Below are 15646 nucleotides of genomic sequence, written 5' to 3' on the forward strand. Positions count from 1 at the left end.
AGCCAAACAACCATGTGCTTGTGCCCAGGGCCAGAGTAAGAGCCCCATAGTCCCAAACCCAGCAAGCCAGATGCCAAGTTGAGTAACCCACCATGTGCACACAAGCACCCATAACCTGAAAAGCAGGCTGGCAAACCAACTCCCAGCAAAGCTGTGCCACTGCTGCCACAAACTCACCACCTAGGTCATAGGGACACTTGCAAACATCACTAGAATGGATTACATATAAATAAGCTTTTTCTTAAGAAGCCTACACCATAAAATTAGAAGAGGCGACAATTGCACCAGATATGTAGGTATCAACATAGAAACACATCAAACATGAAAAAGCAAGAAAATATGATAGACCCCCCAAATCAACCCAGTAATTCTCCAGTAACATAACCAATTATAAGGCAATATATGAAATGCCAGAAGAAGAATTCAAAATAATAATCTTAAGGAAACTCAATGAGATAAAAGAGAATACAGATAAACAATTCAATAAAATCAGGAAAACAATTTGTGATTTAAATGAAAAATTCAACAAAAAGATAGCTATCATAAAAAAAGAGATTTTAGAGCTGAAGAAGTCAATGAATGAAATAAAAAATACGATTTTTCAACAACAGCATAGAAAACGTAGAGGAAAGGATTTCTGAACTTGAAGACAAGTCTTTTGAAATAATACATGAGGATTTTAAAAACAAAAAGAAAAAGAATTTTAAAAAAATAAAGTTTACAGGATTTAGGAGACATCAGTAAGCAAAAAACATTCACATTATAAAAATTCTGGAAGGAGAAAAGAAAGAAAAAGGCACAGAAAACATATTTAATAAAATAATAGCAGAAAACTTTCCAAGTTTTGGGAGAGAGAGAGAGATTCAGATCCAAGAAGTTCAAAATTTCCCAAATAGATTTAACCCAAATACATCCTCTCTAAGGAATGTTATAGTCAAATTATCAAAAGGCAAAGACAAAGGAAGAATGATAAAAACACGCAAGAGAAAAGCATCAAGCCAAATATAAGGGAATCCCCCTTATACTGATAGCAGATTTCTCATCAGAAACCTTATGGGCCAAGAGAAAATGGAGTGATACATTCAAAGTACTGAAAGAAAATAACTGTCAGTGAATATTATATCCAGAAAAACTATCCTTCAGAAATAAAGGCAAGACTGTCACCAAGCAGAAAAAAAAAATCAATAAAATGACAGATGTAAGTTCTCATCTATCAAATAATCTTGAATGTAAATGGATTCAATTTCCCAATTAAAAGATATAGACTGGCCAAGTGGATTTAAAAATATAAGACCCAGCTGGGCATGGTGGCTCACGCCTGTAATCCTAGCACTTTGGGAGGCCAAGGAGGGTGCATTACCTGAAGTCAAGAGTTTGAGACTAGCCCGGCCAACATGATGAAACCCCATCCCTACTAAAAATACAAAAATTAGCTGGACATGGTGGCGGGCACCTGTAATCCCAGCTACTCAGGAGGCTGAGGCAGGAGAATTGCTTGAACCGGGGAAGCAGAGGTTGCAGTGAACCAAGATCATGCCATTGCACTCCAGCCTGGGTGACAAGAGCGAAACTCCATCTCAAAAAACCAACTATATGCCACCTACAGGAAACTCATCTCACCTGTAAAGACACACATAAACTGAAAGTGGAGTGGAAAAAAGACATGCAAACAGAATCCAAATACAAGCAGGAGTAGCTATACTTACATTAGATAAAACAGACTTTAAGACAAAGGCTATATAAAAAAGAACATTATGTAAAAATAAAGGAATTTATTCAGCAAGACGACATAACAATTGGAAATATATATGGACCCAATGTTGGAGCACCCAGATATATAAAGCTAATATTATTAAAGCTAAAGGGAGAGATAAACCTCAAAGCAATAATAGGTGGGGACTTCAACACCCTACTTTCAGCATTAGGCAGATGATCTAGACAGAAAATCAAGAAACATTGGATCTAAACCACACCATAAATCAAACAGACCTAACAGACCTTTACAGAACATTTTATATAACAGCTGCAAAATACACATTATTTTCACCAGCACATGGAACATTCTCCAGAATTGACAATATGTTAGGTCACAAAACAAGTCTCAAATAATTTTTAAAAATTACAATCATATCATCTTATGTGACCACAATGGAATAAAATTAGAAATCAATAACAAGAGGAACATTTGAAACTATACAAATACATGAAAGTTAAACAGCATGTTCCTGAATGACAAATGAGTAAAGAAAGAAATTAAGAAGTTTAAGAATTTCTTGAAACAAATGAAAATAGAAACACAAAATACCAAAACCTAAGGGATACAGCAAAAGCAGCATTAAGAGGCAAATCCATAGCAATAAATCCCTACATCAAAAAAGTAGTAATATTTCAAATTAACATCCTAACAGCACATATTAAGGAAGAAAACCAGGAATAAACTGAACCCAAAATTAGTAGGAGGAATAAAGATCAGAGCAGAACTCAATGAAACTGAACCTAAAAAGAAATGCAAAAAACCAACAACAAAAAAGTTTTGTTTTTTCTGTTTGCAATATTTTAACTTCAGGGGTATATAGGTAGGATGTGCAGGTTTATTAGGTAAATGTATGCCATGGTGATTTGCTGCACAGATCATTCCATCACCGAGGTATTAAGCCCAGCATCCATCAGCTATTCTTTCTGATGCTCTCCCTCCTCCCACTCCCCACCCTCTGACAGGCTCCAGTGTGTGTTTCCACCCTCCATATGTCCATGTGTTCTTATCATTCAGCTCCCACTTATAAGTGAGAAAATGCACTGTTTGGTTTTCTGTTTCTGCATTAGTTTGCTGAGGATAATCTAATCACCTCCACCTGCATCCATGTCCCTGCAAAGGACATGAACTCATCTATACATGGCTGCATAATATTTCATGGTATATATGTACCACATTTTCTTTATTCAGTCTATCACTGATGGGCATTTAGGTTGACTTCATGTCTTTGCTATTGTGAATAGTGCTGCAATGAACATACACGTGCATGTATCCTTAAAATGGAATTATTTATATTCCTTTGGGTATATACCCAGTAATCAGATTGCCGAGTCAAACAGTATTTCTGCCTCTATGTCTTTGATGAATCACCACATTGTCTTCCACAATGGTTGCACTAATTTACACTCCCACCAACAGTGTAAAAGTGTTCCTTTTTCTCCATAACCTCGCTAGCATCTGTTGTTTCTGGACTTTTTAGTAATCACCATTCTGACTGGTGTGAGATAGTATCTCATTGTAGTTTTGATTTGCATTTCTCTAATGATCAGTGATGTTGAGCTTTTTTTCATATGTTTCTTGGTTGCATGTATGTCTTCTTTTGAGAATTATCTATTCATGTTCCTTACCCACTTTTTAATGGGGTTCTTTTTTTCTTATACATTTGTTTAAGTTCCTTGTAGATGCTGGACATTAGGCCTTTGTTAGATGAATAGATTATAAAACTTTTCTCCCATTCTGTAGGTTGTCTGTTTACTCTGTTGATAGTTTCTTTGGCTGTGCAGAAGCTCTTTAGTTTAATCAGATCCCATTTGTCAATTTTTGTTTTTGTTGAAGTTGCTTTTGGCATCTTTGTCATGAAATCATGAAATCTTTGCCTGAGCCTATGTCCTGAATGATATTGTCTTGATTTTCTTCTAGGGTTTTTAGAGTTTGGGGTTTTACGTTTAAGTCTTTAATCCATCTTGAGTTGATTTTTGTACATGATGTAAGGAAGGTGTTTTACTCTGCTCTCATGCTGCTAATAAAGACATACCCAAGACTGGATAATTTATAAAAGAAAGAGGTTTAATTGACTCATAGTTCAGCATGGCTTGGGAGGCCTCAGAAAATTTACAATCACGACAGAAGGGGAAGCAGACATGTCCTTTTTCACATGGCAGCAGCATGGAGAAGTGCCAAGCAAAAGGAGGAAAAGCCCCTTATAAAACCGTCAAATCTCATGAGAATTCACTCACTATCATGAGAACAGCATGAGAGTAACTGCCCCCCATGATTAAATTACCTCCCAGCAGGTCCCTCCCATGACACATGGAGATTATAGAAACTACATTTCAAGATGAGATTTGGGTGGGGACACAGCCAAACCATATCAGAAGGGGTCCACTTTCAATTTTCTTCATATGGCTAGCCAGCTGTCCCAGCACCATTTATTAAATAGGGAATCCTTTCCCCATTGCTTGTTTCTGTCAGGTTTGTCAAAGATAAGATAGTTGTAGGTGTGCGGTGTTATTTCTGGGTTCTCTATTCTGTTCCATTGGTCTATGTGTCTGTTCTCGTACAACTACCATGCTGTTTTGATTACTGTAGCCCTATAGTATAGTTTGAAGTCAGGTAGCATGATGCTTCCAGCTTTGTTCTTTTTGCTGAGAATTGCCTTTGCTATTTGGGTTATGTTTTGGTTCCATATGAATTTTAAAACTGTTTTTTCTAATTCTGTGAACAATGTCAATTGTAGCTTAATGGGAATAGCACTGAATCTATAAACTATTTTGGGCAGTATGGTCATTTTCACAATATTGATTCTTCCTATCCATGAGCATGGACTGTTTTTCCATTTGTTTGTGTCATCTCTGATTTCTTTGAGCAGCAGTTTATAGTTTTTCTTAAAGAGGTCCTTCACTTCCCTTGTTAGTTGTTTTCCTAGGTATTTTATTCTTTTGTGGCAATTGTGAATGGGCGTTCATTTATGATTTGGCTCTTGTCTTGTCTGTTGTTGGTGTATAGGAATACTAGCAATTTTTGCACAATGATTTTGGATCCTGAAACTTTGCAGAAGTTACTTATCAGCTTAAGAAGCTTTTGGGCTGAGATGATGGGGTTTTCTAGATATAGAATCATGTTATCTGCAAACAAAGATAACTTGAGTTCCTCTCCTCCTATTTGAATTTTCTTTGTTTCTTTCTCTTGCATGATTACCCTGGCCACAACTTCCAATACCATGTTAAATAGAAGTGGTGAGAGAGGGCATCCTTGTCTTGTGCCAGTTTTCAAGGGGAATGCTTCTAGTTTTTGCCCATTCAGTATGATATGAGCTGTGGGTTTGTAAAAAGATTAACATAATTGACAAGCCATTAGCTAGATGAATAAAGAAAAAAAGAGAAAAAACCAAATTAATAAAATCAGAAACAAAAAGGAGACATAATAACAGAGACTACATAAATACAAAAGACCATTAGAAACTATTATGAACAACTACACATGAATAAATTCAAAAGATTAGAGAAAACTGAAAAATTCCCGGATACAGACAACCTAACAACTTTAAACCAACAAGAAATGGAAAACCTCAGTCCAATAATGAGTAATGAGATTGAATTAGTAATGAAAAGTCTCCCAACAAAGAAAAGTCCAGGAACAAATGGCTTCACAGCTGAATTCTACCAAACTTTTAAAGAACTAATACCAGTCCTTGATACACAGATGAAATACTTCAAACTATTCCAAAAAATTGAATGTAAAACTCATTTGAATGTCATCGAATGTCAAAACTCATTTGACAAGCCCAGCATGATTGTGATACAAAAACCAGATAAGACACAGCAAAAAAGAAAAGCACAAGCCAATACTACTAATAAACATATATATAAAATACTAGCAAATGAATTCAACAGAACATCAAAAACATCAGGCACCATAATCAAGTGAGATTCACCTCAGATATGCAAGGATGGTTCAACATATGCAAATCGATATTTGTGATACATTGCATCAACAAAATGAAGAACAAAAACTAGGTGATTATTTTAATATCATATGATCAGAAAAAGCATTTTATAAAATTCAACATCCCTTCATCACTAAAAACTTTCAATAAATTAGGTACAGAAGAAAGTACTTCAACACAATAAAGGCCATCTATAGGCCATGTAGCTAATATTATACTAAATGGGGAAAAGCTTTCAGCTTTTAAGAATTAGAAGAAGAATTAGAAGAAAAAGTGCCTACTCTCACCCTTGTTATTCAAGATAGTACTGGAAGTCTGGCCCAGAGAAATTAGGCAAGAAAAATAAATAAGTAAAGTACATCCAATTTAGAAAGGAGGAAGTCAAATTGTCCATGTTTCCAGATAAAATTATCTTATATAGAGAAACCCTAAAGACTGCACCAAAAAACTGTTAACACTGATAAACAAATTCAATAAAGTTGCAGCATACAAAATCAATAGACAAAACTTAGTAGCATTTCTATACACAAACAACAAACCAGATGAAAAGGAAATCATGAAAGCAATCCCATTTACAATAGCTACAAAAATATATAAATGAATGAATAAAATATCTACGAATGAATTTAACCAAGGAGATGAAAGATCTCTGCAAGTAAAGCCATACAACACTGCAGAAAGAAATTTAAGAAGACACAAAAAATAGAAAGACATCCCATATTCATGGACTAGAATAACTAATATTGTTAAAATGCCCATACTACCCAAAGTAGTCTACAGAATAAATGTAATTACTATCAAGATACCAATGAAGTGTCATTTCATTTAACAAAAATAGAAAAAAAATCCTGAAATTTACATGGAACCACAAAAGACCCGAAACAGCCAAAGCCCATACTGAGCAAAAAACAAACAAACCAAAAAAAAAAAAAAAACAAGCTGCGGCATCACACTAACAGACTTCAAAATATACCATAAAGCTGTACTAATCAAAACAGCATGGTACTGGCATAAAAACCGACACATAGAAAAATGGAACAGCATAGAGAACCCAGAAATTAGTCCACATATATACAGTCAACTGCTTTGACAAAGATGTCAAGAACATACATTTGGGAAAGGACACCTTCTTTAATAAATGGCGCTGGGTAAACTGAATATTCATATGCAGAAGAATGAAACTAGACCTCCTGCCTCTCACCCCATACAAAAATCAACTCAAAATTCATTGAAGACCTAAATATAAGACCAGAAACTATAAAACTGCTAGAAGAAAACACCGATGAAATACTTCAGGACATTGATCTGAGAAATAATTTTAAGAATAAGACCTCAATAGCATAGGTAACTAAAGCAAAAATAAACACATGGGATTATATAAAACTAAAAACCTTCTGCACAGCAAAACAATAAACAGAATGAATAAACTTACAGAATGGGATAAAATATTTGTAAAATATTCATCCAACAAAAGAGTAATATCCAGATATACAAGGAATTCAAATATCTCCACAATAACAGAAAAACTAACTTAAAAATGGGTAATTGATACAGATATTTCTGAACAGAAGACATACATATGGTTAACAAATACATGAAAAAGTGCTCAACATCACTAATCATCAAGGAAATGTCAATTAAAATCACAAGGAGATATCATTCACCCCAGTTAGAATGGCTATTATCAAAAAGACACAAATAAATGTTGGTGAGGATGCAAAGAAAAGGGAATTCTTATAAATCACTGATAGGAATGTAAACTAATACAGTCTCTATGAAGAATAGTATGGAAGTTCCTAAAAAAATTAGAAATAGAAATGTCATATGATCCAGCAATCTTGCTCGTAAACATTTATTCAAAGGAAAGGAAATAAATATGTTAAAGAAATATCTATCTGCACCCCTATGTTTATTACAGCAATATTCACAATAGCCAAGACAGGAAATCAACCCAAACGCCCAATAACAAATGAATGGATAAAGAAAATGTGGTATATATACACAATGGAATACTATTCAGCCATAAAAAATGAAATCTTGTCATTCACAGCAACATGGATGGAACCGGAGGATATTATGTTGAGTGAAATAAGCCAAGAACAAAAAGCCAAACATCACATGTTCTCATTCTATGCAGAAGTTTAAAAAAAGTTGGTCTCATAGAAGTAAAAGGCAGAACACAGGCTTCTATAGACTACAAAGGGTAAGGGAAAGGGGGGAATAGAGGAAATTTGTTAAAGGGCACAAAATTATAGCTAGGTAGGATGAGCAAGTTCTATTGTTTTATAGTACTGTAGGATGACTATAGTTCACAATAATATATTACATATTTTCAAAGAGCTAGAAGAAGATATTGAATGTTCCCAACACAAGGAAATGTTTGAAGTGAAGGATATGCCAATTACCATGATCTGATTACTACAAATTGTATGTATCAAAATATTACTATGTACCCCATAAATATGTGCAATTATTATGTGTCAGTTAAAATTAATATAAATAAGTAACTAAAGCAGAAGCAGGAGAGGAACAGAGATGAGAGCCCTCATCTAGTTCAACTTTCTAATTCCATAATTTCTGAGATCAACATGCATTCCTTCCCTTGAGCTCTGTAGAGTTTTTCACAATCACAATAGTTTTAATCTATTTCAAATTTTGTTTTTGAAAAGTTGCTATATTGTAGTTAAAAAAATGAAAAAAATAAGAAATACTTTAAATAATAATGACTAAGAATTTTCTCCAAATTAATTTCAGACACTAAATCACAGATCCAGGAAACTCAGAGAACGCCAAGCAGAATAAATGCCAAAAATAACCTACACCTAGATGTATTATTTTCAAATTACAGAAAATCAAATGTAAAGAAATACTTCAGAAAGAAGCCAGAAGGGAAAAACACCTTACCTACCAAGAAGAAAAGAAAAGAATTATACCCAACTTCTCCTCAGAGACCATGCAAGCAAGAAGACAGCAAAGTAAAATATTTGAGGTGTTGAGGGAAAAAAACTACCAACCTAGAATTTCATGTCCTGCAAAAACTATCCTCCAAAACTGAAGGAGAAATAAAGATGTTCTCAGACAAACAAAAATTGTGGGAATTTGTTGTCTGTAGGCCTGCCTTCCAAAAAATGTTGAGAGAAATTTTTTTAGAGAGAAGTAAAATAATATCAGTCAAAAACTCAGATCTATATCAAGAAGAACACTGGAAAACAAACAAGTGAAGGTAAAATTAAAACTTGCATTTTTCTTATTCTTAATTAATCTAACAGATAACACTTTGTCCAAAATAATGATAGTAACAATGTATTTGATTATGTATGTGTTATGTATAAGAAGAATGAATAAAATAATGATACAAGGAAAGGAAGGAAGGAACTAGGACTATTTTGTTATTGCAAGGTATTCACACTACCCATGAAACAGTATATAGTAGTATTTGAAAGTTAATTTGGATTCATTATAAATGTATATTGCAAGCTCAAGTGATGACTAAAAAAGTAAAAATAGAAATATAACTAATATGCTAAGGAGGATAGAAAATGGCATCATATAAAATACTCAGGTAAAATCATAAGAGGCAGGAAAAGAGTAGAAGACAAAAATAGGAACAAAGAACAGAGGCACTAAAAGAAAACAGTAACAACTGTGGTAGATATTAATCTAACAGTATCAGTAATCACTTTGAACATCAATGGTCTGAATGCACCAAATAAAAGACGGAGATTGTCAGAGTAGATCAAAAAGCAAGACCAATTATATGTTGTCTACAAAAAACCTTGAAATCTAAAGAGATATATATATATATGTAGTTTGAAAGAAAAGGGATGAATAAAGATAAGTCATGCTAATACTAATCAAAAGGAAATGGAAGTAGCTATATTAATTTTACACAGCAATGACTTCAGAGCAAGAAAAGTTATTACATAATGATGTGTTATCATTACATAATAATATATGAGTCAATTCTCCAAAAAGAAATAATAATCCTTAACATATGTGCACCTAGCAAAAGAGGATCAAAATATATGAGGCAAAAACTGATAGAACAGCAAGGAGAAATAAATGAATCTGCTATAATAGTTGGAGACTTCAATACCCCTCTATTAGAAACAGACAGATCCAGCAGGCAGAAATTCAGTAACAAAATAGCTGAATTCAACAATACCATCAATTAACTAGTATAACTGACATCTATAGATGACTTTTTCTAACAAGAGCAGCATACACATTCTTCTCCAGCTCATATGAAACTTGTACCAAAATAGACCACATTCTGAGCCATAAAACACATCCTAACAAATATAAAAAATAGAAATTACATAATGCCTGCTTTTAGACCATGATGGAATTAAACTGGAAATGAAAAACAAAAAGGTAGTGGAAAGTTCCAAAATATTTGGAGATTATACCACAGACTTCTAAATAATGCATAGGTGAAAAAAGAAACCTAAAGAGAAATTTTAAAATATTTTTAAATAAATGAAAATGAAAACACAATTTATCAAAATTTGTGGATGCAGCAGGAGTAGTTCTTAGAGGGAAATTTATAGCATTGAATGCACATATTAGAAAATTAGAAAGGTCTAAAATCAATCACCCAGACTCCAACTTTACGAAACTAGAAAATAGAAGAGCAAATTAAATCCAAATTAAGCAGAAGAAAATATAAATTAGAACAGAAGACAATAAAATTGAAAATGAGAAAATCAATAAAACCAAAACCTGGTTCTTTGAAAAGATCAATAAAATTGATAAGTCACTGGCCAGACCAAGAAAAAAAGAGAGAAGATACAAGTTGCTAATATCTGATATGAAAGAGGGTATATTAACACAGATGCCATTTACATTAAAATGATAATAACAGAATACTATGAAGAATTCTATGCCCACAAATTTGACAACACAGATGAAATAAACCAATTCTTGAAAAGATACAACCTGCCAAAACAATTTGGCAGTTTAAACAGGACTATATCTAGTAAATAAATTAAAGGAGAAACAGGCAAATTGAACAGGACTGTATCTATTAAATAAATTGAATCAATAATTAATAACCTTTCAGGACACACAGTACGAGGCCTAGATGGGTTCACTGATAAATTCTGTTAAATATTTAAGGAAGAAATCATACCAGCTCTCCTTAATCTCTTTCAGAAACAGAAGCAGAGGGAATGCTTCCTAACTCATTCTATCAGGTTAGCATTATCCTAATAACCAAACCAGACAAAAACATTACAAAAAAGAAAACCACAGACCAATATCTCTCATAAACATACATTTTTAAATCCTCAGTAAAATATTAGTAAATCAAATTCAAGAATGTAGTAAAAGAATTATATTCCATGAACAACTGGGGTTTATTCCAGATATGCAAGCCTGGCTCAAAATTCAAAAATGAATTAATATCTTCCATCACATCAATAAGCTAAATAATATGATCATTTCCATAGATACATAAAAAGCATTTGACAAAATTTAACATTCATTTATGATTTTTTAAAAACTCTCAGTAAACTGGGATAAAGAGAAATTTCTCAACTTAAAAAACATCTACAAAAAACTCTACAGCTAGCATCATAATTAATGGTGAGAAAGCAAAGCATCAGGAGCAAAGCAAGATGACTCTTTTCACCACTGCTTTTCTAACTAATGCTTTTCTAACTAATTCACCACTGGAATTTCTAACTAATGCAATAAGACAAGAAAAAATAAATAAAAGGGATCAAGATCAGTAACGAAGAAATAAAACTGTCTTTGTTCATACATGACATAATTATCTATGTAAAGCATCTGAAAGAATTGACCAAAAAAACTCCTAGAACTAATAAGAAATTGCAGCAAGGTTGCAAAATACAAGGTTAACATACAAAAGTCAATTTTTTGTATTGTATTGACTCATTGATGTGATGGAAGATATTAATTCAAGGTTAACATACAAAAGTCAATGTTTGTATGACAATTTCCAATAAGTCACCAGTGAACAAGTGGAATTTGAAGTTAAAAACACAATACCATTTATATTAGCATCCCCAAAAATGAAATACTTAGGTATAAGTCTAACAAAATATGTGCAACATCTATATGAGGAAAACTATAAAACTCTGATGGAAAAGAATCAAAGAAAATCTAAGTAAATGGAGTGAGACCTCATGTTCACAGATAGGGTGAATGAATATTACCAAAGTCCCAGTTTTTCCCAACTTGATCTATGTATTCAACACAATCCCAACCAAAATCTCAGCAAGTTATTTTATGGACATAAACAAACTGATTTTTAAGTTTATCTAGAGAGGCAAAAGACTCAGAATAGTCAACACATTATTGAAGAAGAACAAAGTTTGAGGCCTGACACTATTCGACTTCAAGATTTACTATAAAGCTACAATAATCAAGTCAGTATTTTATTAGCAAAAGAAGAGCTAAATAAGTAAATGAAACCAAATAGAGAGCCCAGAAATAGGCTCACATAAATATTGTATTTGGAAATTAGCAAAGGCAATACATTGGAGTCTTTTGAACAAATGGTGTTGGAACGACTGGACATCCAGATGCAAAAATAAATTAAATCTAGATACAGACCTCACACCTTTCACAAAAATAAACTCAAAATGGATCAGTGTCCTAAATATAAAAATGCAAAACTAAAAACACTCCTAGAAGGTAACATAAGAGAAAGTCCAAATGATCTTTGGTTTGGCAGTGACATTTTAGCTACCACAGTAAAGGCACAATCCATAAAATAAAGAATCTATAAACTGGACTTCAGTAAAATTAAAAATTTCTACTCTGTGAAAAATTTCTAAGAGCAGTGGCTCACGCCTGTAATCACAGCACTTTGGAAGGCCGAGGCGGGCGGATCACGAGGTCAGGAAATCGAGACCATCTTGGCTAACACGGTGAAACCCCGTCTCTACTAAAAATACAAAAATTAGCAGGGCGTGGTAGCTGGCGCCTGTAGTCCCAGCTACTCTACTCCGGAGGCTGAGGCAGAAGAATGGCGTGAACCCGGGAGGCGGAGCTTGCAGTGAGCCAAGATCGCGCCACTGCACTCCAGCCTGGGCGACAAAGCGAGACTCCGTCTCAAAAAAAAAAAAAAAAAAAAGGAGAACGAAAAGATAAGCCACATACTAAAAAAAAAATACAGTCATCCCTTGTTGCCTCTGAGGGATTCCATCACCCCATGGATACCAAAATCCACAGATGCTCATATCCCTTGTATAAAATGGCTTAGTATTTGCATATAACCACCTGTATTTTTTAAATCGTCTCTAGATTACTTATAATACCTAATACAATGCCTGTATATCACTACATCCTGTGGACTCAATGTAGTAAGGCAAATTCAAGTTTTGCTTTTTGGAACTTTGTGGAATTTTTTCCAAATATTTCCAATCCATGGTTGGTTGGATCCACAGATTTGAAACCCATGGATACAGAGGGCCAACTGTATTTTCAAAAGACATATCCGATAAAAGACTGTTATCCAAAACACACAAAGGAACCTTAAAACTCAGCAATATGCAAGCAAACAACCAGATTAAAAAACAGGTCAAAAATCTTAACAGGCACTTTACCAAAGAAGATATATATGGAAAATGTACATATTTATGGAAAATAAGCATATGAAAAGATGCTCTACATCATATGTCATCAAAGAAAGGCAAATTAAAACAACAATGAGAACCACTACACACCAAAGGCGAGGAGTGGAGCAACAGGAACTTAATTGGTAGCAGGAATGCAAAGTGGTACATCTACTTTGAAAGACAGTTTGGCAGTTTCTTACAAAACTAAGCAATCTCCTACCATGCAATCCAACAATCATGCTTTTTGGTATTTACCCTAAGAGTTGAAAACTTACATCCATACAAAAACCCGTGCATGGGTGTTAATTGCAGCTTTTTTCCTAATTGCCAAAACTTGGAAGCAGCCAAGATGTCTTTTACCAGGCAAATGAATAAACTGTGGTATAGTCAAACAATGGAATATTATTCAGTACTAAAAAAAAAGAGCCATTAAGACATGGAAAGTCATGGGGGAACACTTAAATGCATATTATTAAGTGAAAAAAGCCAGTCTGAAAATGCTGCATACTGTAACGTTCCAATTATATGACACTCTGGAAAAGACAAAACTATGGAGACAGTATACCAGGATTGCCTGGGGTTAGTGGGCAGGGAAGGATGAATAGGTAGAATAGAGACGATTTTTAGGTCAGTGAAATTACTCTATAAAATATTATCATGGTGGAGACATGTCATTATGCATTTGCCTGAAAACATTCATATTCAACCCTAAAAGTGACCTCTAATGCAAACTTTGGACTTTGATAATGTGATAATGATGATGTTTCAATGTAGGTTCATTAATTGAAACAAATGTACCACTCTAGTCAGGTATGTTGATAATGGGGAGGCTTTGCACATGTGGGGGCAGAGGTCATAGGGGAAATTTCTGTACTTTCCACTCAATTGTGCTACGATCCTAAAACTTCTCTAAAAAAATAAAGTCTGTTAACTTTTCTTTTCTGTTTCAATGTTAATTAAAATGGCAAACAAAAATTTTGGAGAAAATAGGGTTGAGAGAGGATATAGAAAATAAATCATTAACACCTATTAAGATCTGCTTATTAAAAAGTGCTCTGGGATAATAATCTAGGTTTCAAAAGTTGAATAACAAATTTTTTGAATAGGCCATTGGTTTTGTTTAGTGATCCCATTCTTAAAATAGGTACTAAATAAGCATAGAAATAATTTCAGAATGAAAAATTTATTAACACTCTTAAATATAATATCATTTAGATAATACAGATAATGCATGAGACAATTCAAGATCCAAAAATGTAAAACCTATATGGACATCAAGCACTCCCCTACTAGAATTATTGTTAAAAGATGCACATTACCTAAAGCATGATTCTCCTTGCTAGTTTGCAGCATTAATGAGTTGTTTGGTTGAGCAGCACCCTCCGCTTCTGAATTTTGAAAAAGACATAGGGGGTAGAGAGAGAAATATGCATTAATAGATCTGACTCCTAGTTAAAATCATATTTTTTCACATTCTTCAGACTATTTTTGTATTGCAGTTGCCAATGAATATCTAAATTATGACAGCCAAGCAAAAGTCTTGGCAAAATTTGTCCCAGTATAAACTTTTGACTTTCTCTTCCTGACTCTGGCATAGTCCTGCTTTAAGCCCAGAGTGCCCATCACCCCCCTCTTGCTTTATATTCAAGTCTTCTTCCAGGCTTTTAGTCTATCTCTGAGTGTGGAAGAAATTATTTTACTAGGCTTTTCAAGCACCAATGAGGAGGTAAAAAAAGTTTAGTGGGGACTATTGATTGGCTGCTGGTATGGAATAAAAGGATTTTCCTAAGCATTGTTGAAGTCACATCATAGAATCTATGATGGGAAAACGGTCCCCAACCTTTTTGGCACCAGGGACCCATTTCGAGGAAGATAATTTTTCCACCACGGACAAGGAGGAAGGGAGCACGATAGTTCTCGGATGAAACTGTTACACCTCAGATCATCAGGCATTAGTTCAATTCTCATAAGGAATGCACAGCCTAGATTCCTGGCATGCACAGTTCACAATAGGGTTCATGCTCCTGTGAGCATCTAATGCCTCCAACTGATCTGACAAGAGGTGGAGCTCAGGCCGCAATTCTCACTCACCTGCCGCTCACCCCCTGCTGTGCGGCCCAATCCCTAATAGGCCAAGGACTGGTACCAGTCTGCAGCCCCAGGGTTGGGGACCCGTGATATAGACAATGGCCTATTAAGTTCACATTTCTGCAAGGCAAGCTCTTAGTGAGAATTGGTAGTACACATCTTTTAAGCAGCAATTATTGGCAAAGTACTCTGCTAGGCACAGAGATATCATAATAAACAATATCCCCTTTTTTCCAAGAGCTTAAGATCCAGGAGAGGCAGTAGCTAGGGAAA

The 15646-nt window shown here is 34.3% G+C and overlaps 1 protein-coding gene across 4 annotated transcripts in view, besides 1 other annotated feature; it reads right to left on the minus strand.

The window, feature by feature from the left end:
* CD200R1 (CD200 receptor 1) overlaps positions 1–15646 on the minus strand; it is a 53899-nt gene that overhangs the window by 12047 nt on the left and 26206 nt on the right. For 2 of the 4 annotated variants that reach the window (NM_138806.4, NM_138939.3), the window contains exon 2: positions 14605–14673. The exons of the other annotated variants lie outside the window; for them this stretch is intronic. In NM_138806.4, coding sequence (NP_620161.1) covers positions 14605–14673 — 69 coding nt within the window. The remainder of the gene's footprint in view (positions 1–14604; positions 14674–15646) is intronic. 4 annotated transcript variants of the gene reach the window in all.
* Positions 387–556: an enhancer, noted in NCBI's record as "experimental_64462 CRE fragment used in MPRA reporter constructs". NCBI's record gives its function as "activates a minimal promoter by MPRAs in K562 erythroleukemia cells, with activity observed for the non-introgressed 3:112652570 variant allele {active_cell/tissue: K562}" and the evidence as "EXISTENCE:reporter gene assay evidence [ECO:0000049][PMID:34662402]".

The sequence above is a fragment of the Homo sapiens genome, chromosome 3, assembly GCF_000001405.40.
Source record: "Homo sapiens chromosome 3, GRCh38.p14 Primary Assembly".
Lineage (NCBI taxonomy): Eukaryota > Metazoa > Chordata > Mammalia > Primates > Hominidae > Homo > Homo sapiens.